At 39.4% G+C, this 22,150-nt stretch overlaps 1 protein-coding gene across 10 annotated transcripts in view; it reads left to right on the top strand.

Moving 5' to 3' along the window:
• Nucleotides 1-22,150, top strand: part of C1orf141 (chromosome 1 open reading frame 141) — a 49,482-nt gene that overhangs the window by 7,640 nt on the left and 19,692 nt on the right. For 6 of the 10 annotated variants that reach the window (NM_001276351.2, NM_001276352.2, XM_011541467.2 and 3 more), the window contains 4 exons: nt 2,780-2,865; nt 6,750-6,841; nt 8,098-8,255; nt 18,543-18,655. In NM_001276351.2, the coding sequence (NP_001263280.1) occupies nt 6,767-6,841; nt 8,098-8,255; nt 18,543-18,655 (346 nt within the window). In that variant the 5' untranslated portion in view covers nt 2,780-2,865; nt 6,750-6,766. Of the gene's footprint in view, nt 1-2,779; nt 2,866-6,749; nt 6,842-8,097; nt 8,256-18,542; nt 18,656-19,731; nt 19,857-20,250; nt 20,394-22,150 lie in introns of those variants that run through there. The other 4 variants (XM_011541466.3, XM_011541465.3, NR_075077.2 and 1 more) reach the window with 3 other exon arrangements.

The raw sequence follows: 22,150 nt of genomic DNA, 5'->3' as shown, positions 1-22,150 counted from the left end.
AAATAAATAAGGGACAAGAAAATGCATAATGCGGAACTAAGCACATAGGTCGGGTTTTTAAATTAGTTCTCAGTGCCTGGGCTGTACTAGCTTGCTGGGACTGTCATGACAAAACATCATAGACAGAGTGGCTAAACAACAGAAATTTGTTTTCTTACAGTTCTAGACACTAAAAGTTGGAAATGGAGAGGTGGGCAGGGTTGTTTTCTTCAGAGGCCTCGCTCCTTGGCTTGGGGTGGTGGCTGCCTTCTCACTGAATCTTCACAACGACTTTCCTCTGTGTATCCTCGGTGTCCCAATCTCCTCTTCTTATATGACACCAGTCATACTGGCCAGAGGCCTACCCTAACAACCCCATTTTAACTTTACTCTTTAAATGCTGTATGTCCAAATACAATCACAGTCTGAGATCCTGGGGCCTAGGACTTCAACATACGAATTTAGGGGCAACATAATTCAGCCTATAATATGGGCCATTTATCAACATTTTAGATTTAAAGAAAAAAGATTCCCCTAAGTCTATCCTTGGAATGTGAGATGGAGATAACTCAGCCAGTTATCTAATTATTGAGTAAACATTAATCATTTAACAGATGAAGTGAGTCCCTACTGTGGTCTCAGTAGTGGACTGTGTCAGATAAGAGTGTAAGAAGTGGCCTCGTCCTCAAGGAGTAAGCATTTGAACTGATAAAGCCACATAATGGAAGTGAATTTTAATTTAAGCCTGCATTTTCTAGATAATTTCTCAGGCCTTTAGTTTGTAACTTTAGAGATTCTTAGTTTTCCTGAGTTGTTTAGAACTTGCTGAAGAACTCTTCTCAGCTGAGCCTATTATATTGACGACACTGGGTTTTGTTATTTTTTGTTTGTTTGTTTTTAGTCCCAAAGGTGCTGTTAAAATAAAATTGTTCTCTTAAAATATTTAAGACATTTTTATTTTAGATATGACTTAGTCTCTGATATGCTAATAATATTGACCTACAATTTTTGTTGAGAGCAAGTTTTTGCAGTGAGGCCTGTAGATGATTCACTGTGAGAGTAATTGGGAATTCATTCTGCCCCAATTGGCATGGCCTCTATTTCATTGTGTTCTTTAAAAACAAACGAACAAACAACAACAAAAAACTGTCACTACTGTGCTAGAAATTAAGAACATAAATCCAAGTTTCCTTTCAAAACAATTTTACCAAGTTTAGATTGGCAATAACCCCATTTTATAATAATACACTCAACTTTTTATTTCATCTTCCAGTAAATCATTATGAAGTAACATCATTTATTACAGATAAACTAGGATTACTCTTCCTAAAAATTTATATTCAGAGACATCTCCAAATTAAATTGTAATTTTCAAATCCCCGTTAGATGTAAAACGCTTTGCCTGAGGCTGAGAGTCGGAGGTGGATAAGTCAATTCTTGCTTCAAATGAGCTTTCAACCCAGTAAGGAAGAGATCTGTCAAAGAGTAAACCTCTTTTTTTTTTTTGAAATGGAGACTCGCTCGTCACCCAGGCTGGAGTGCAGTGGCACGATCACACCTCACTGCAACCTCCGCCACCTGGGTTCAGGTTATTCTCCTGCCTCAACCTCCAAAGTAGCTGGGATTACAGGCGTGCGCCACCATGACCAGCTAATTTTTTTTTGTATTTTTAGTAGACACAGGGTTTCACCATGTTGGCCAGGCAGGTCTCGACTCCTGACTTGAAGTGATCCACCTGCCTCAGCTTCCTGAAGTGCTGGGATTACAGATGTGAGCCACCACGCCCAGCGAGTAAACCTCTTAAAACCTGGTGTAGTGGCTCTTGCCTGTAATCCCAGCTACTCAGGAGGCTGAGAGGCTGGAGGATTGCTTGAGGCCAGGAGCACACAATAAATAGACTGTCACCGAGACAAGGAATGAGACAATGCCAAGGAAAGTTTCATAGAAGAGGTAGTCATGACTGGGCACTGTAATCCCAGAACTTTGGGAGGCCGAGGTGGGCGGATCACAAGGTCAGGAGTTTGAGACCAGCCTGGCCAATATGGTGAAACCCCATCTCTACCAAAAATACAAAAATTAGCTGCGTGTGGTGGCGGGCACCTGTAATCCCAGCTACTCAGGAGGCTGAGGCAGGAGAATCACTTGAACCCGGGAGGTGGAAGTTGCAGTGAGCCAAGATTGTGCCACCGCACTCCAGCCTAGACTGCGAGACTCCATCTCAAAAAAAAAAAAAAAAAAAAAGAAGAGGTAGTCTTCATACCATATTTCATAAAGAGTAGGCTTTTGACTGGAAGACATGTGGGAGAACATTCTGAGTAGAAGGAAATGCAGGAGTGAATGGTGTGCTTGAGAAAAGGGCAGGACGTGTCCAGGAAGTAAGAGTGGTAGAAAATGGTGGAACAGAAAGGGGAAGGAGGAATAAACTAGAAAGGTGGGCTGAGCCAGATCCTGGACTATCTTTTCTTGGATGGTCTCATATGTCATCTGAAGAGTTTGGGTATTCTTCAGGTTATGAGAGCAAGCCAAGGTTTGTGGGCTGGAACTGGTCCTGATCAGTGTCCTGTTTAAGAAAGACAGCTCTGATGGCATTGCGTTTGTTTGTTTTTGGTTTTTGAGAAGGAGTCTCACTCTGTCACCTAGGCTGGAGTGCAGTAGTGTGATCTTGGCTCACTGCAACCTCCATCTCCCGGGTTCATGGGATTCTCCTGCCTAAGCCTCCAGAGTAGCTAGGATTACAAACATGCACCACCATGCCCAGCTAATTTTCTTTTCTTTTTTTGTATTTTTCTTTTTTTAATAGATTTCATCATGTTGGCCAGCCTGGTCTCAAACTCCTGACCTCAAGTGACCCGCCTGCCTCAGCCTCCCAAAGTGCTGGGATTACAGGTATGAGCCACTGCGCCCAGCCCATTTAATATCGTCTTGATTCATTTTGCATTAAAAGATTAGTAGTTAGTTTATGCAAAGTAGTTGGGGAACACCATCATATTAGTACTGATGTTCCTTTGCTCTCAGCATTTATTTGAGGAGACACAAAATAGGCCCTTGATGAACTTATGAAATATAATGATGAAAGCAAGCAAGTTAATCTATAGTGTTTCCTCACCTCCACTTTTTCCCAGGGCCATTTATCCATTAGGCACCATTGGCACATTGCCAAAGACCGATGGGAGAAAAGAATTTGCAAACTGAAAAAATTGTATTAGTTTCAAAATATGAAATTAATACTACAAAACTAACATTCAGTCAATTTCATTAACCGGCAAATTTAGTATTCATAAAACTGTTGTTGACCCTTGAAAATAATTGGTTAGTTTTTCTCACTTCAAAAAAATTCATGATCTGCACAGTGATTTTCCAGAAATCATTCATAGCCAAATAATTTACTCTTAGCAAACTATTTTTAAAGCAAAAACATAAAAATTATTTCATGCTATGGTTAACTGTATATAGAAAAATACAGCTGTGTGTGCATGTGCGTGCATGTGCGTATGTGTGTGTGTATAATGGGATGACATTTTGCCTCTTAAAATGTCCTATGTGGTGTTGAAGATGGGGTGACTAAAAGTGAGAGGTGTAGGACACCTTACTGTAAAAAGATCTGCTTTCTGTTCTTTCTCACAAATGAGCAGCATTGTTTCAGCTGGCCCTCATGTAGTTTATACGTTCCCCAAACTGGGAAACTCATTCACTTCAATACATTGATTCTTCCAGTTATTTACCTGTGTCTTGCTGAAAAATAGAAATCTTTGTCTCCAGTAAAATAAACTTAGGTGGGGAATATGAAAGCCTTCTCCCCCTCTTGAACTCATATTATGTTTAAGGGAAACACAAAAGCTAAAACTCCTCGGAGAGTTTTAGTTTAGTTTAGTTTTACAAGAGGGATGTTTCTTGGGTCTGAAAAGAAAATATGTCCACATAATCATAATGTATGTTCTCTTTCAAAATCTGTCCCCTATTGTCCTGTAAGAAATCCAGAAAGTCATCAGCATTCACATTATGCTAATGCCTTTACCCTGTCAATGTCAAATAAAATATAGAGACTAATCTCTAAAATCAAAATATTTATTTGGGAGGAAATAATTGCAATTAGGGCATACACACAGAGCAGTAGTCTTCAGTATATTCTGAAGAACAAAGAATAGGTTAGAGGTTTTATAAAACCAGGAAATGTTACAAATTGGCACTAGTGAGGTTTTGAGGCACTGACAAGATTGGTAAGTGAAGGCTGTGGGCAAAATTGGTTTAGAGTTGCCACAGGTCTTTTCAGTAGCTATTAGATACAACTGGTTTAGGTCACAGCAGTCAATTTCAGCTGCCAGACTTGCAGAGGGACTGCATTTTTGGAGCGATGTTCTGTGCCCTGAGTGTTTTCTCTTACCCTGGCTTCTCACTGTGTTTTAGTTAGGTACCACAAGAGTGACCCATTTCATATGATCAGCTTTCACAATCCTGGATCTCCCCTTCCCAGTGTGCAACCTGAGGTTGTGTGGTTCGTCACAAGGCAGGCTATCTGCTTGCACCCCCATGGCCCAGAATTTCCTCTGTGTAATTTTTTTTAAAGAAATGGGGTCTTGCTCTGTCACCCAAGCCGGGGTGCAGAAGCATGATCATAGCTCACTGCAGCCTCAAACTCCTGGACTCAAATGATCCTTTTGATTCTCCCACCTCAGCCTCCCCAGCAGCTGGGACTATAGATGCATGCTACTGTGCCTGGCTACTTTTTTTTTTTCTTCATGAGATGAGGTCTTGCTATGTTGCCCAGAGTGGTCTCAAACTCCTAGGGTCAAGCAATCCTCCTGCATCAGCCTCCCAGGTAGCTGGGATTATAGGCACACACCACCACACCCAGCATGTCTGTATACTTTATTTATCACACTGGACTACATCGTGTGATGGAGGGAAAATCTGGATGTAGTGACGTGATAGAGGGCATGCTGGGATGGGATGTCATTCAGTACATGAAGAAATCATACTCAGGGCAATGTATGGTGAAGGAAAAAAGAGTAAAAAAAAAGCTGAAGGAAACCAATTACAAAATAATGTAAACTTTTGGCATCGGATCCTGAATCTTTCTCCTTTCATGAACTGTTGTCTCCATGTGGCATTGCTGGAATAATATACAATATAGGAGAAATATCAGAGATTTTTCTGAGCTGGAAAGAACCTTAGTATTAACATTAATATTCATTGAAAACATTGATGATTCTGTACTTTCTGTGAACGATATCACTTTTACACTTAAATGCCACTGGAGCCCATTTAATTCAGTGAGCAAAAGTATACTGAATGCATGGTCATCTACACAATTTTTTTTTTCTTTTTGAGACAGAGTCTTACTCTGTCACCCAGGCTGGAGCACAGTGGCGTGCCATCTTGGCTCACTGCAACCTCTGCCTCCTGGGTTCAAGCGATCCCTCCTCAGCCTCCCAAATCGCTGGGATTACAAGCATGTGGCACCACGCACAGCTAATTTTTGTATTTTTAGTAGAGACAGGGTTTCAGTATGTTGGCCAGGCTGGTCTTGAACTCCTGACCTCAAGTGATCTGCCCGCCTCGGCCTCCCAAAGTGCTGGGATTACAGGCATAAGCCACTGTGCCTGACCCATCTACTCAATTTTTAAAATAAATAAATAAATAAATAAATAAATAAATAAATAAATAAATAAATAAAGGGAGCTTTGGGTTGATATTCCTGGATTCTTGCCTCCACTCTGCCCTAGCTATTTCTATTACACTAATAGGGTACTCTGTGGCCTTCAGTTTTCTCATCTGAAGATGTAATAAATTAGACCAGGTTCTGATGTCTCATACAGCTCCCTAAGCTTAATATGGACTGCTTGACCTCAGATGAGACGGTTAGCAATATTAATTAACTAGGAAATATGAACCATTATGGCAATGGGACCTAACCAGCTTAGTTGCTGCTACTTATGTGTGACTAATTGCCTGCTACATGCTGTTAACAGTCTTGGATCATTGACCAATTTAATTTGAAGCAATTAATTATATAAATATGAGTTCCCTGTGTTTACTTTCATTAAAATTATATCATGACAAAAAGAAAACAGATATGTCCAAAGTCCTACTCCTGGCCAGGCACGGTGGCTCATACCTGTAATCCCAGCATTTTGGGAGGCTGAGACAGGCGGATCACTTGAGGTCAGGAGTTTGAGACCAGCCTGGCCAACATGATGAACCCCTGTCTCTACTAAAAATACAAAAAGTAGCTGGGCATGGTGGTGCACACCTGTAATCCCAGCTACTCAGGAGGCTTAGGCAGGAAAATCACTTGAACCCAGGAGGTGGAGGTTGCAGTGAGCCAAGATCACACCACTGCACTCCAGCCTGGGTGACAGAGTAAGACTCTGTCTCAACAACAACAACGACAAAATTAAGTCCTACTCCTAGCTTGATATATTTTTAATTAAAAAAATTTAAAAAGAAAATAGATATAAGTCAAGCCACATGGTCTTGCTTCAAGTATAAGTCACATATGGTTCTCATGGTAATCGTGAACTTTCTCCCCCTCACCTTTATCATAAATTTAAAAATTCATGGGGCCTATACATATCTGGGAGTTCTGATCATATAGCCTTCAATTGAAAAAACTTGGGTACATTTACAATTCTATGATTTACTGTATGATTTAAACAATTCTATTATTTACCTAAAACAGTAATGTAAAAGTGAGTCTTTTGAAAACTTATGCCTAGTTTTATGTTTAAATTTGAATTGATTTGTTCTTCTTCCTCCTTATTTTAAAATAGGAATTTAGTGATTGACAATGGCAGAAAAAATCCTAGAGAAGTTGGATGTCCTTGATAAGCAAGCAGAGATAATCTTGGCCAGAAGAACAAAGGTTTGTGACGTATAAGCTACAATTCAGTTTAATCATTAACAGGTTAACATTTCAAATGTGAATAATTTTACTTTTTAGCTAATGATACATTAATATGATATAAACTAATTTGTAAAAAGCAACTAATTATACTAGTTGAAAATGTAATGTATACAAATATAAAAATTTTATTGCTGATGTACAAAGTTTCAACGAATCATCCCATGAAGGGCTTTTGGATTGTTTTGACGATTTTACTAGTAAAAATAAAGCTGCTTAAAAAATAAAATAAAGCTGCTATGGACATTTGCATCCAGGTTTGTATGAACATGAGTTTCCATTTCTCTGAGGTAAATGCGTGAGAGTGTGATTGCTGGTGCGATCTTTCTCTTAACTTTAGCGAGATCAAAGCCGCAAGATTTGGTTTGAGTTCCCCCAATCCAATGGGTTTCTCCTCCCTGCACCTCAGCCCTGAAACCACCTCCAGGAAGTAAGCTGGGCTATTAGAGGGTAGACCTCAGTTATTTCCCTTCTTTCAGCGATCTGTCCTACTCTGTTTTCTAATAGCTGGGGGCAGTTGTTTTCATATATTTTGCCTGAGCTCCTAGTTGTTGAGAGCAGGAGACTAATTCCCATAGTGCTCCATCTATTGGCAGAAGCAGAAGTCCCCCATATCCTTTGATTTTGCTTTCAGGGTTTTCATCTCTTTATTCTTTTGAGCTATGCTCTGAGATAATTTTTTAGAGAAAACTTTCGGCTCCTTTACTCACCTTTTAGCTAGATCCTTTTTCTTCTTCAATCCATTTGTATAAGGATTTTAACAAAGTCCTCTTTTGATTACTTTCTTCACTCTATTTCTGGCTCTCACGACTAGAGGAAGATTGGTGTGATTCATCGTGCGTGTGGCTACAGGAAGAGGAGCAGGCTGGAGGGACATGCCTACTATGGTTCCAAGAACTCTATGTATCTAAATATGTAGATCTTTCCTTAAATTCTGTACTTTAGAATTAGGAGGGAGCCTTAATAATCCTCAAGTCCTACCCCCACATTTTACAGATGGGAAAAGAACAACTCAGGTCACACAGCAAAGGCATAAAAACAGTTGGTGCACTAGACCCCCAATTTTCAGTCTGTACTATTTTTCCATTATTGCCTGCCACCTAAATTCTGTGTGTGTGTGTGTGTAAAGTGAGATTTTTTTTCTTTCCACCTAAGATTTTCCCCATATAAAAAGTACTCTTTTTTTTTTTTTTTTTTTCACTTTGGCATTGCTGCAGATAAACAGGCTTCAGAGTGAAGGAAGAAAAACAACTATGGCTATACCCCTGACATTTGATTTTCAGTTGGAATTTGAAGAAGCTCTTGCTACATCCGCGTCTAAGGCAATATCAAAGATCAAAGAAGACAAGTCATGCAGCATTACAAAATCAAAAATGTAACTATCATAACCACCTTAAATTTTCAGTTCAGAATTTGTTTGTTTGTTTGTGAAACAAGGACTCACTCATTGCCTAGGGTAGAGTGCAGTGGTGCAAACATGGCTCACTGCAGCCTCAACTTCCCAGGTTTAGGTGATTCTCCCACCTTGGCCTCCAGAGTAGCTGGGACTACAGGCATGCACCACCATGCCCAGCTAATTTTTTGTATTTTTTATAGAGATGGGGTTTTCCCATGCTGCCCAGGCTGGTCTTGAACTTCTGGCCTCAAGAGATCCACCCACCTAGGCTTCCCAAAGTACTGGGATTACAGGCATGAGCCACCTCACCTCGTCCAGTTCAGAGTTTTAAAACATTACTTTATATCTGTCTTAGATTATGCAATGTATATTAAATGAAAGTTTTATGGCATATGTTATAAGGGTTATGAGTTAAAATATACTAGATTAGCTTTCTGAATATTTCTAGTTTATAAAATATTTATTATGTATAATATTTTACTAGTGTAGATGGTAATTACAATTGTGAATTTTTAAAGGAAGGCTTTTCTTGAGCTCAATTATATTGCCCCAAATTAATGTCAGGATTTATTGCAAACTTTAACTGATATACTTAAGAAAAAGTCTGCCTAGAAAACTAAGTAAGGCAATTTCTCTGTGCACTTAAAAGGGACAGCCTAAATATGTCATACTTGGTCTTTCACTGGCATTTAGTACTTGCATAATGCTATAAAATTTTTCCAAGCACATCAGAATTGTAAAGGAGAGTTCAGAAAAAAGAAGTACAAAGATGTGGAATCAGTAGAACTTCAAATTAATTGGACATTGGTAGTAGTGTGGATACTGTCCTTATCTCATTTATTCTGGGTAACAAGTTTTCCTCACTTGTTCTGTGCCTAAGTACAAAGCACTACTGTGCACCCAGTTGCCAAGCCCAAAAGCTCACAGTCATCCTATTGAATAGGGTATAGTAATGATGAAGAGAGCACAGGCTCTGAAATCAGACTGCTAAGGTTTAAATCCAGCCTTGCTACTTGTTAGCTATGTGACCTTGATTTTCACACATAGTTTAGACAGGCAGCAGCTATGACACTATGCACTAGGCAGCCCACGTGAGCACTATGACATTTGTGGGCCGGGCATGGTGGCTCACGCCTGTAATCCTAACACATTGGGAGGCTGAGGTGGGCGAATTGCCTGAGGTCAGGAGTTTGAGACCAGCCTGAGCAACATGGTGAAACCCTGTCTCTACTAAAATATATTTTTAAAAAATTATCTGGGCTTGGTGGTGCATGCCTGTAGTCCCAGCTACTTGGGAGGCTGAGGCATGAGAATTGCTTGAACTCGGGAGGCAGAGGTTGCTGTGAGCTGAGATCATGCCACTGCACTCCAGCCTGGGCAACAGAGCAAGACTCCATCTCAAAAAACAAACAAACAAACAAACTATGACATTTGCATCTAAGACCACTCCTACTTACTTACATTTTCATGTAAGTATTCTGATTAAGGCCTACCACCTGATTGTCTCGAAGCAGCTTTCTTCATGTAGCAGTTTTGTACTATTGCTCAGAGTGAAACAAACTTTTGTAGCCCAATGTTTTAGTGCAGTTTTACAGATGAAAAACCTAAGTCTGGGTGAGGTTAAACAATTTGCACAAGGTCATACAGCTAACAAATTGAAAGGCTGGATTTGAACCTTAGAAGTCTGATTTCAGAGCCTGTGTTCTTCATCACTACTGTACCCCATTCAATAGGATGCCTGCAAGCTTTGGGTCTTGGTAACTAGGTGCATTGTAGTGCTTTGTACTTAGGCAGAGACCAAGTGAAGAAAAGGAGATTGGGGTGGATAAGAGGATCAAAGTGAGAAGGGCTGGGATTTATTTCATAGATGTTAAGTTTTAGATGCCCATAGGCATCTAAACATTCAGGTAGAGATATCTGGAAGAAAGCTGCCACCATTGATGAAACCGTGGCAGGCAAACTTGTTAGCTCGTAAGTAGGGTCAAATCTCAGACTCTTAGTGGTTTTTAACACCTACTTCTAGGGAAGCTTAGGAGTAGAATAACTGATACTTGGATCCTCCTTAGAAACTGTGGTAAAAGTAATTGTATCTCAGTCTTCAGTGAGTTATAGAACACCCTTATCCAGGTCCCTGTCAGCCTAGAAGGAAACTTTATATCCATTTTATCTATCCTACAATTCTATCTGCTTCTAGATAGCAGAATTTATAATTTAGTTATACCTCAGCCAAATAAAAAAATTTTATATAATAAAATGGAAACTTCAAAAAATATGACAAGAGACAAATAAACTAGAAAAGAAAGTCAAGATCAGTTGAGGACAGGATTTGTGTATAACTAATCTTATAAATCAAATGTATAATACTTAGTTTTTAATTCAATACATTGCTTATAAACCATGTTAAGTATGCATTTGTTGGAGGACTAAAAAAAAGAAAAGCTGTCAATCTCCCAGTATGTTCACCAAACTTTGGCTTTCCTCTCATAAGCGCACTGAACTTTTATTTTTATTTATTTTTTTTTTTTGAGATAGAGTCTTGCTCTGTTGTCGCCCAGGCTGGAGTGCAGTGGTATGATCTCGGCTCACTGCAACCTCCCTCTCCCGGGTTCAAGCGATTCTTCTGCCTCAGCCTCCCGAGTAGCTGGGACTACAGGCATGTGCCACCACACCCGGCTAATGTTTTGTATTTTTAGTAGAGATGAGGTTTCACCATGTTGGCCAGGCTGGTCTCGAACTCCTGACCTCGGGTGATCCACCCGAGGCCTGACAAAGTGCTGGAATTACAGGAGTGAGCCACTGCATCCAGCCTAGCACACTGAACTTTTAAGAGTACTTGGGAAACTTAGTATGTTTAACACCTCCCAAAAGAATGTTAAAATGACCACAGTTTGCAAAATTGAAGAGAAAACAATGGCAACATAAGGCACAATATTGGTAATCAAGAAGAAACTATAGCCATGGATATGGAAGACATTAAAATAATTATAATGAATGCTTTGTGTAACTACATTGCTTTGACACATGGGTGTAATAATGGATGAACTTTTGGGAAAATATGAAAGGGAAAAATCTCAACAAAAAAGAAAACATAAATAGATCAATAACTGTAGAAAAATTTGAGGAAGCAGTCAAAGAATTCTTTTACAAAAGTACCACTTTGAAGCTGTGTCAAAGGTGAGTTTCTTTGTAGTTTCAAAGAACTATTTAAATAGTTTTGGAACACAGACAAAGGTGGAACAGTTCTCAGTTCTTTTCTGCAAAGGTAGATTTGATCCTTAAGTCTGACCACAAGAATAGAAAGCAAATATAGATTTTTAAAGAAATATAAAATAAAATGTTAGTTTTAACTATTTCATTGCTTATTCTTGATTCAGGGACATAAAAACATAAAGCAGCCCAGCCATGGTGGCTCACACCTGTAATCCCAGCACTTTGGAAGGCCGAGATGGCCTGATCACCTGAGGTCAGGAGTTCAAGACCAGCCTGGCCAACATGGTGAAACCCCATCTCTACTAAAAATACAAAAGTTAGCCAGGCATGGTGGCGGGCTCCTGTAATCCCTGCTACTCGGGAGGCTGAGGCAGGAGAATAGCTTAAACCCTGGAGGTGGAGGTTGCAGTGAGCTGAGATTGCACCATTGCACTCCAGCCTGGGCACCAAGAGTGAAACTCCATCTCAAAAATAGTAATAGTAATAAAGCAGTTTTATATTTCTCTAATTTCATCCTGATCACTTTGGTTATTAAAAGTCTGTCCAACTTAGTATTTTGATCTCACCCCTCGTCATGGCTTTCCCGTCCCTATACAAGCCAGTCTAATGACACAGGGAGCTGAAATGGAGAGGGGTATGGTCAGCAATTTGATTACTCCTGTTCCCTCAACTGAGAGTAGGAGGTTGATATGGCCTTCTTCTAGCACAACTCCTCCTCACTCTTCTTCTAATTTCTTTTTTCTCTTATATGGGTACAGTGGTGTGCTAAAGCCAGCTCCTACCAATTCATTAGAGCTGCTTGTTGAATTTTCAGCAATTTTGTGAGATGTTTATTAAACACTCACCATTAAAAATTAAATTATGTAAACTTAAAATTCAATGGCATACCAAAAATAAAGATAATACTCAAAACTCATCACTTCCTAATTATTGTATATTTTACTATTATTCATGGTTTTGAAGTTATTTACATCTACTATATTCATATGGTAGAAATTTGTATAACAGTATGCTACTACACATCTCTTCCAAATTTCACATTTAATTATATCACATTGGTAGAAATTGACAACGGGAGTATTTACACCACAGCAATTGGCAAACACTACAAATCAAGGCTTGAGTCGTTGTCTGTCTAGATTTAAGAAAGTGAGGAAGAAAATGTTAATGATGAAGATTAAACTTAAAAGTAAGTCTTACCAAAAAAAGTATGCCTTACCTATAGCCATTATGCTTTGAATAGCATGAAAAATAAGGAAATATTCAAAAACTATTATTTGGTTCAGCAAAAAAGTAGCTTACACCATCGATGAATGAGTAAAATTCCACATTAAAACTACACCCAAAGGCAAGGTTATTAAAATTTTACCAGCACATCCTCCTGTATGGGAGTAAAGGAGGAGGGAGAGAGAAGAAGACAAAAGTTCTTATTTCTTTCTGGACACTGTTTCCAACTTTTCCCTTAGTCATCAATCATTTTCTGGCCAACTTTAGTCATAAAGAGCACATATGAGAGATCCTCAGAGGAACACATTCTCCAACCAAGGAGAGCAGCTACAACTCTTCAAATTCTCCATCAACTCCTATACTCTCCAATATACTCCACAATTTCTTCTGCGAAGGATCCCCAGGCTTTCAGTCAGCAATCTGGGTAGAGTATCAGCAAATTGACCCAAACACAGTTACTACCTCAGTATCCATTTGACCCCCTATATTAGTCAGTTCAAGCTGCTATAAAGAATACCATACCCTGGGTGGTTTAAATAAATTTATTTGTCATAGTTCTAAAGGCTAGGAAGTCCAAGATCAGTGTCTGGTGAGGACACTCTTCCTGCTTTGCAGACAGCTGTCTTCTTCTTGTATCTTCACATGGCAGAGAGAAAGAGACAGATAGCACCTCTCTCATGTCTTATAAGGGCACTAATCCCAATCATGAGGCTACACCCTCATGACCTAATTACCTCTTAAAGGCTGCACCTCCCAAAACCATAACTTTGGGCATTTAGACTTCAATATATGAATTTGAAGGGGGGGATGCAAATATTCAGTCTGTAGAATTCCACCCCTGTCCCCCCCAAATTTACATCTTTCTTACATGGAAAATACATTCATCCCATCCCAATAGATCCAAAATTCTTAACTGGTTCAGCATCAACTCTAAAGTCCAAACTCTCAACTAAATATCATCTAAATCAGATATGGATGAAACTTGAGGTAAGAGTACCCTGAGACAAAATTTCTCTCCAGTTGTGAACCTGTGAAGGCAAACAAGTTGTTTGTTTCCAAGCTACGTTGATGGGATAGGTGTAGGATAGACATTCTCATTCCAAAAGGGAGAGATAAAAAAGAAGGGAGAAATGACAGGTCCTGAATAATTCTAAAACCATGCAAGCAAACTCTATGAGATCCTAAGGTTTGAGAATAATCCTCTTTGGTTCAAAGCTCTGCCCTCTAGATTCACTAGACTAGTGGTCCTGCCTCCAGAACCCACTCAGGCAGGGGTCTCACCTCTGAAGCTCTGCCTAGCGGGAGTTGCACACCCATGGCTCCACTGGGCAGGGGTCTTACCCTTTGAAATAGAAGTGGAGGCAGCCCTGTCCCCTGAGCACATGCCCTCTGGGCCTGTTGTGGGAGTGGCATCCCTGATTATCTTTGAATTGCTTTTGAGGTCCTTCTTCCCTTGTCTTGAAAAATAGTGCACAGTTATAGCTGAACAGCTGCATACAGTAGCTCTATGATCTGGTCCTGTAGAATCTAAGAAGTTCAACAGTTTTCTTTCATTTTTTCCCACTTTCTCTGTTTCCCTTAGTCCCAGCTGGCAGTGTTTCTGCTGGTATAATCCCATCTCTATTCCTGGCTTCTGTTGAGATGGCTGATTTGGTCCTTGTTACACATCCACACTGACCTACCTATCAAACAGTCAACTTACTATACCTTTAGTGTTCTCTCCCAAGCATACTTTTTCATTCTTTTGTAATATGAGCAGGCTGAAAATTTTTCAAATCTTTAACTTCTGGTTCCTTTTTCCTTAATAATTTCATCTTCAATTCATTTCTTTCCTCTTGCATTTTACTATAAACATCAGTAGGAACCAAATCACTCCTCAACACTTTGCTTAGAACTAACGTCAGCTAACTATCCAATTTCATTGCCTGCAAGTTCTGCATTCCACAAAATACTAAAACACAAACACAATTAAGCCAAGTTCTTTGACATTTTATAACAAGCACCACCTTTCCTCCAGTTTCCAATAACATGTTATTTACTTCCATCTGAGATCTCATCAGAATGGCCCTTACCATCCATATTTCTACCAACATTTTGTTCATCATTATTTATGGAGTCTCTAAGAAAATGGAAGCTTTTCTCTTTTCTTTTTAAGCCCTCACCAAAGTCACCTTTAAAATCTCCTTCATGGCAATGTCAGCATTTTCTAGCATGCACTTCCAAACTCTTCCAGCCTCTACCCATTAACAAATTCCAAAGCCACTGCCACATATTCAAGTACTTGTTACAGCAGCACCCCACTGCTCATTACTAATTTCTGTCTTAGTATGGGCTGCTACAACAGCACACCATAGCCTGGGTGGCTTAAACAACAGAAATTTGTTTCTCACAATTCTCGAGGCCAGGAAGTCCAAGATCAAAGTTCCAGCAGATTGGGTGTCTGGTGAGGGTATTCTTCCTGGTTTGCAGACAGCTGTTTCTTTGTATCTTCACGTCATGAGGAGATAGAGAGAAAGGCAAATACAGAGACAGGGAGAGAAGGAGTTAGACCAACTCTTCTTAGAAGAACACAAATCCTTTTCATGAGGCTATACCCTCATAACCTAATTATCTCCCAAAGCTCCCACTTCCAAATACCATAACGTTAGAGATTTAAGCTTCAGCATTTGAATTTGAGGGGGATACAAACATTCAGTCCCCAGCATTTCCCCAGAAACTCAAGTATCCTGGCCATGCCAAACAGTGTGGTGCAGGGTGTCTACTTTACTTGCTTATTCCACTCACTCCAAATTTGACATGGGGCAAATCAGCAAGTGTGGTGTCTAACAGATGTGCAACTGAGGAATAAGATGCCAGTCTCTATGAGTGATTCTTTGGGAACTCCCTCATCAGTTTTGTGGAGGAAGCATCCCTGCCCCTCCCACATTGAGAAAAGAGGAAAAAGCCACAGCAGACCCTAACAGGTCAATGACTCACAATTCTGATATTTTTCTTTTTTCCCCCACCAGTTTTCTTTTATTTGAAGGCCTAAAAGAATCTCTTGCTCCAAGTATTGGTGGATCTTTGTAGAATACAGAGTATGTATTGCTCCTTTTTACTCAGCTGTGGAGTAAAAAGTCACCTGGTCACCAATTCTAAGGCAACGGAATAATTGCCACTCAACAACTTATTTTAACAAAATGAAATCCAACACTATATTAAATAAATATTACTCCACTATGACTAAGTGGAGTAAATTTCAGGAATAAGAAAGAGTATCCTCATTTATCTCTATGACATTTTGTTGATCACTTTCTAAACTTTATTTTACTTAATTCTTACAACAATCCCTTGAGATAACTATTAACCTTATTTGACACATGAAGGACTGAGATTCAGAGTATTCAATATTCTATGGAAGTTCACATAGAGTCAAGATGCAAAGTAAGGTCTAACTTCAAAGCCTATGCTCTTTGGTTCACCACAAGGAAATTCATATCTGAATATCTTTATATACTCTGCAAATGAATTTGAAAAACATACTTTAGCAATATAAGTATTTTTAAGATAAGGATAAAATATTACCTCCTTAACAAGACTATATAGCCAGCATCATCCTTAGAAACCCTTGACTCATTCTCATTCAAGTTAGAAACAGAACAATGCCCATTCTCACTAGTATACTACACTCTCCTAGAAGTCCTCCCCAATGATATTAATAAGAACATAAGATACATTTTTTGAAAGGAACAGATAAATTGTTTTACGGAGATTACATAATTATTTTTAAAAGAGAGAACAAACTGAAAACCCATTAAAAAGTACGATGATAAGAAAGTTCAATAAAAATTTACCAAAAATCTTATGCATTCAATAATTTTTTTTTTCTTTCGAGACAGAATCTCTCTCTGTCACCCAGGCTGGAGTGCAGTGGCACGATCTCAGCTCACTGCAACCTCTGCCTCCTGGATTCAAGCAATTCTCCTGCCTCAGCCTCCCGAGTAGCTGGGACTAGAGGCACATGCCACCACACCCAGCTAATTTTTGTATTTTTAGTAGAGATGGGGTTTCGCCATGTTGGCCAGGCTGGTCTTGAACTACTGACCTCAGGTAATCCACCCCCCTCAGCCTCTCAAAGTGTTGGGATTACAGGCATTAGCCACCGCGCCCGGCCTATTAGGCATTCAATGAATATTAAACATGTACTATGTACCAGTCATGCTATAGGTGCTAAAATACCACAGTGAATAAAACACATAAATAGTGTGCCCTCAGAGTTTACAATCTAGGATAAGATGGGGAGAGAGATAATAAACTAAATAAACAAATGAATATATAATATAAATTTACCAGTGATGAATTCTATAAAGGAAAATATAGTAAATTAAGGGAATTAAAATCAACAGGGATTACTATTTTAGATGGGGGAAGTGGGGTGGGCTGGAAAGTTCTTTCTGAAGAGGTGGAAATGTGAGTGGAGACTGAAATGAAAGAGTAGGCCACGTCAACCCCTTGTGGGGAGAATACTACAGGCAGAGGAAAGAGCAAGGTCCTTAAGTGGAGCCTAAATTCCTTTCCCTGAACCAAACAGGTAGAAAATTTGCTCAGCGTTCATGTGGAGCTGAGAGGTGAAGGGGTATGCAGAGAGAGGCCTGGAGTGGCATTCAGTGGAAATTCTGCTACTTAGAAATGAGAACTGGGGGAAAAGTTTCTGTCTGTTAGGGAGCATTTTGAATTTTAATCAAGTCTGATAGGAAACAGTTGAAGGAAATGATAGTCACATTTGTATTTTACAAGTGTTGCTATGGCTGTATTGCGAAGAGAATGTTGAGGACAAGTGTAATAGCAGGGAGAGCAAACAGAAGAAGGCTAGAGACATAGGGAAGGGGTTCAGATGAAAAATAAAGGGGTCTTGGATTTGGTTGGGAGCAATGAGGAAAGAGGTGTTTGGATTTGGAATCTATTTCAAAGAAAGACACAGTATTTGCTGATAGGTTGGGAGTGGAAAAAGAGAGAAAGAGAAATAAAAGATTTCTGCAAACTTTTTGGCCTAACCCTCTGGTTGAATGGAGATGGGGAAACCTGGGTGAGGAGAAGATCAGGAAGGGGATGGTGGAATCAATAATTTGGTTTTGAATATGTTAAGTTCAAGATACTTATAATTAAGCTAAGTGCAGGAGTCATGTGGGCAGTTGGATATATAAATCTGAAGTTCAGAGAAGAGGTTAGAGTCTGGACTATAAATTTGGGACATTGGCCTATAGACAACAGTTACAGTGTGGGACTGGCTTATACCAACTAAGGGTGAGTATCTGAGGTCTGAGGGCTGAGTCATGGGTTGTTCTAGCATTTAGAGGTCAGAAAGAGTATCAATTATGTAATACTATTAATTTTCTAATATACCATCACTAGCCAGTTAAGTAATTTAGAGGAGGATAATTTGTCTTTACAATAAATAAATGCTGTGATCCTTTCTAGTACCTGAATTCCCTAACTCTATGTCCCACCACTTTGATTCAGGTCCAGTAATGTCCTCAATGTCTCACTGAAGTTATTTCCAGCATATTTTTCTGAAAGGGTTAATCAGCTTGTGAATAAGTTTCTTGGAGTGCCCTCAATGCTATCACAGCAGCAAGTAGTTTTCTGTCCCCCTCCACTTTAAACGACTAAAACTAATATTTTCAGCTCCTATTTAATCAGTCCAATGTTTCACACTTGGTACTGTGACAACATTAACATAACATCCAAGTCTGTATAACTAGGACTTCACATTCCTCCAAATTTATTTTTTAGATTTATTTTGTAATTTTTCTCATTATTTTAATTTAAATTAATTTTTATTTCTTCCAGGCATGTCTCTTTCAAATGTGAGCCTGAACCTAGAAAGAGTAATTTTGAAAAGTCAAATTTAAGACCATTCTTTATTCAAACAAATGTAAAAAATAAAGAAAGTGAGTCAACAGGTAATGCTTTGTGTAACATATTTACTTCTTTGATTTATTAATGGGTGCTTTATTTATTTTATTATTTACCGATGTGTGTCTTAAAGGTTCTTGATAATTTGATCTCTGTCAAAAGCATTTCCATGAACTATAAAAAAGAACTTACTAAGAAGAAGAGATGTTAAATATCAGAATGGACAATTTATACAATTCACAAAATAGGAATATATTTTTATGTTTATAGTGTTATGTGTTGTTTTCTTCTAGAAAGAAAATCTCTGAGTTTCCTTTCAGCTCAATGCTGAGAATTTCCTTGTTATTGTTTTTTAGAAGTCAAGTATGAACAGCTTGCTTAATAGAAACTTACTTTCAAGTTAGAAATTTTAGGAATCTGGCTGGGTGGGCACGCTGGCTTACGCCTCTAATCCCAGCACTTTGGGAGGCCGAGGCGGGTGGATCCCCTGAGGTCAGGAGTTCGAGACCAGCCTGGCCAACATGGCGAAACCCCGTCTCTATTAAACGTACAAAAATTAGCCGGGCATGGTGGTGCGTGCCTGTAATCCCAGCTACTCAGGAGACTAGGCAGAAGAATCGCTTGAACCCAGGAGGCAGAGGCTGCAGTGAGCTGAGATCGTGCCACTGCACTCCAGCCTGGGTGACAAGAGCGAGACTCCATCTCAAAATAAAAAAGAAATTTTAGGAGTCCGTGAGCTAGGAATCAGCATTATCAGTTCTCAGAGAATTTGAGCTTTTCGTGTTGCCTTCGTTTTTCTCTTTCTCTCCATTATCAAACAATCATTCAATTGCATAATTCTCATCAACCTTCTTAACTGAGGTTTCTTGACTCCACATCACCCCCTATTGCTTAATTTCTCTATTATGCTTCATAACTTGATTTCTCAAAGGATTTGTTATACACATTGTTATTTTATTTCTCATGATTCACTTTCATAATGTCATATTTCCTTATGTGTCTTATTATCTTTGAATGTGTGCTGGACGGTATTTGGAAAATTATTTATAGGAACAATTTGAGAACTAGGGTGATGATACGTTACTCCAGAAAAGATTTTTTTTTTTTTTATTGTTTATGCCAGGTATATGGAGGCAGTACTTGTCAGAACATACTAAAGCATTCAAGGCTTCACTTTCCCTAAAACATCCAGGTGGCAATCTTAACTATTCTAGTTCACCCTAAGGTTGTAACCCTTTTGGATCCCAGGTAAAATGAATAGGTGTGGGGGTTTTTTGTGTGTGGGGGAAGGGAACTGGAGAACATTTAAATATCAAAACTTTGGACCTTTGGTCAGCTTTTTGTTTTTTTCTATCTCAAGCCATGAAGCTTCCAAAACTTGATCTTACCTTCACATCACAAATACTCTCAGGGAAAAAGTGGCTTGGCATGTTGGGCTTCCCTATCTGAGTTCTTATCTTCTCCTAGATTTAAGACCAGGGATCCCTTATCATCTTTTAAGTCAATGATTCTCTTTAGACTTTAAAAAATATTCAATCTAGCCTTTTAAGGTGTTTTCAGCAGGAGGGCTGTTACTAATCACCTGGCCTTCCATAATGGTAGCAAAAATCTCTAATCCATTTTCTTTCCTTAAATCATATAGTGATCTTTTAAAAGTAGGCTGATCCTGATTAAAGCCTCTTCAGCGGATTCTCATTGTACTTAGTATGAAACTTGTACTTCTTACAAAGACCTGGCCGGGCACGGTGGCTCATGGCTGTAATCCCAGCACTTTGAGATGCCAAGGCAAGTGGATCACTTGAGGTCAAGAGTTTGAGGCCAGCCTGACCAACATGGCGAAACCCTGTCTGTACTAAAAATACAAAATTAGCCGGGCATGGTAGTACACACCTGTCATCCCAGCTACTTGAGAGGCTGAGGCAGGAGAATCCCTTGAACCCAGGAGGCAGAGGTTGCAGTAAGCTGAGATTGCACCATTGCACTCTAGCCTGGGCAACAAGAGTGAAACTCCATCTAAAAAAAAAGAAAGAAAAGAAACAAAGACCTGTATATTGTGAACCTTGTGTGTGTATTCAGCCTCATTCCCTACCTCCCTGGCCTTCATTTAAATTGCATCTTCAACCAGGCAGGGTGGTTCACACCTGTAATCCCAGATCTTTGGGAGGTCAAGGTAGGCAGATCACTTGAGGTCAGGAGCTCAAGACCAGCCTGGCCAACATGGTGAAACCCCATCTCTACTAAAAATACAAAAATTAGCCGGGTGTGGTGGTGCACACTTGTAATCCCAGCTACTTGGGAGGCTGAGGCATGAGAATCACTTGAACCCAGGAGGTGGAGACTGCAGTGAACTGAGATGGTGCCACTGCACTCCAGCCTGGGCGACAGAGCAAGACTCTATCTCAAAATAAATAAACAAATTGCAACTTCATTAGCCTCTTTTCAGTACAACTACCAGATTGCCTGAAAGGAATATATATTTTCCCCTCTGCCTAGACACACCAATACTCTATTCATGCAACTTGTAGCTCATTTGCATATTTTGGTTAATGTCATCTGTTCAGAGAGGCGTCCTCTGACTACGCTATCAACAATATACCTCTTTTATGGTTCTCCCTCACCAAAGTGTGTTTATTTCTGTTACAGAATAAATTTCAATTATTCACCCCTTGGTTTTTTGTTTTTTGGTGGTTTTCTTTTTCTGACACGGTCTCACTCTGTTGCCCAGGCTGGAATGCAGCAGTGTGGTCACGGCTCACTGCAGCTTCGACCTCCCTGGCTCAGTAATCCTCCCACCTCAGTCTCTTGAGTAGCTGAGACTACAGACACACCACCACACTCAGCTAATTTTTGTACTTTTTTTTTAGAGACAGGGTTTCACCATGTTGCCCAGGCTAGTCTCAAACTCCTGGGCTCCAGTGATCCACCTGTCCTGGCCTCCCAAAGTGCTGGGGTTATAGGTGTAAGCCACTGCACAAGTCCAATGTCTTGTTTTTTTGTTTGTTTATTTTCCATATTACCCACTAAAATGTATGCATCATTGGGCAGGAGTCACAATTCCAGAGTCCATCAGTGTCTGGCATATAGTTGATCAACAAATAACTATTGATTGAATGACTACCAGACTCCGTATTAAATTTGTTACATCTATTATTTCATTTAACTCAGAAAGTATTTCTATAAGTGCTATTGTTTCCAGTTAACAAATGAGGAAAGTAAGACTCACAGATGTTAAGTAACTTTCCTATGGCTATGGCTATGTAACCCACACAAAAAGGTGCAATTTGGACCCAGGCTATCTAAGTCCAAAGTCTGTATGCCTGACCCCTGCACCATACTTACTTTAAGAATATCCATTGGATGATAATTCAGATTACTAAAACTCATAACTGAATATGAGAGAAATGCAGGTAGAAGGGACTATTTCTATTTCTCTTTTCAAAGGAATTAGCCAAAATATTTTTTGAATAACACATATGATTCTATTTTATTTAGAAATCCATCATTTTCCAAGACAATATAGCTTTATCATATAATAGTAAATA

This window comes from Homo sapiens, chromosome 1 (genome assembly GCF_000001405.40).
Source record: "Homo sapiens chromosome 1, GRCh38.p14 Primary Assembly".
NCBI lineage: Eukaryota > Metazoa > Chordata > Mammalia > Primates > Hominidae > Homo > Homo sapiens.
Note: the sequence above shows the minus strand (reverse complement) of the source record. Positions and strands in the feature narration are given on the sequence as shown.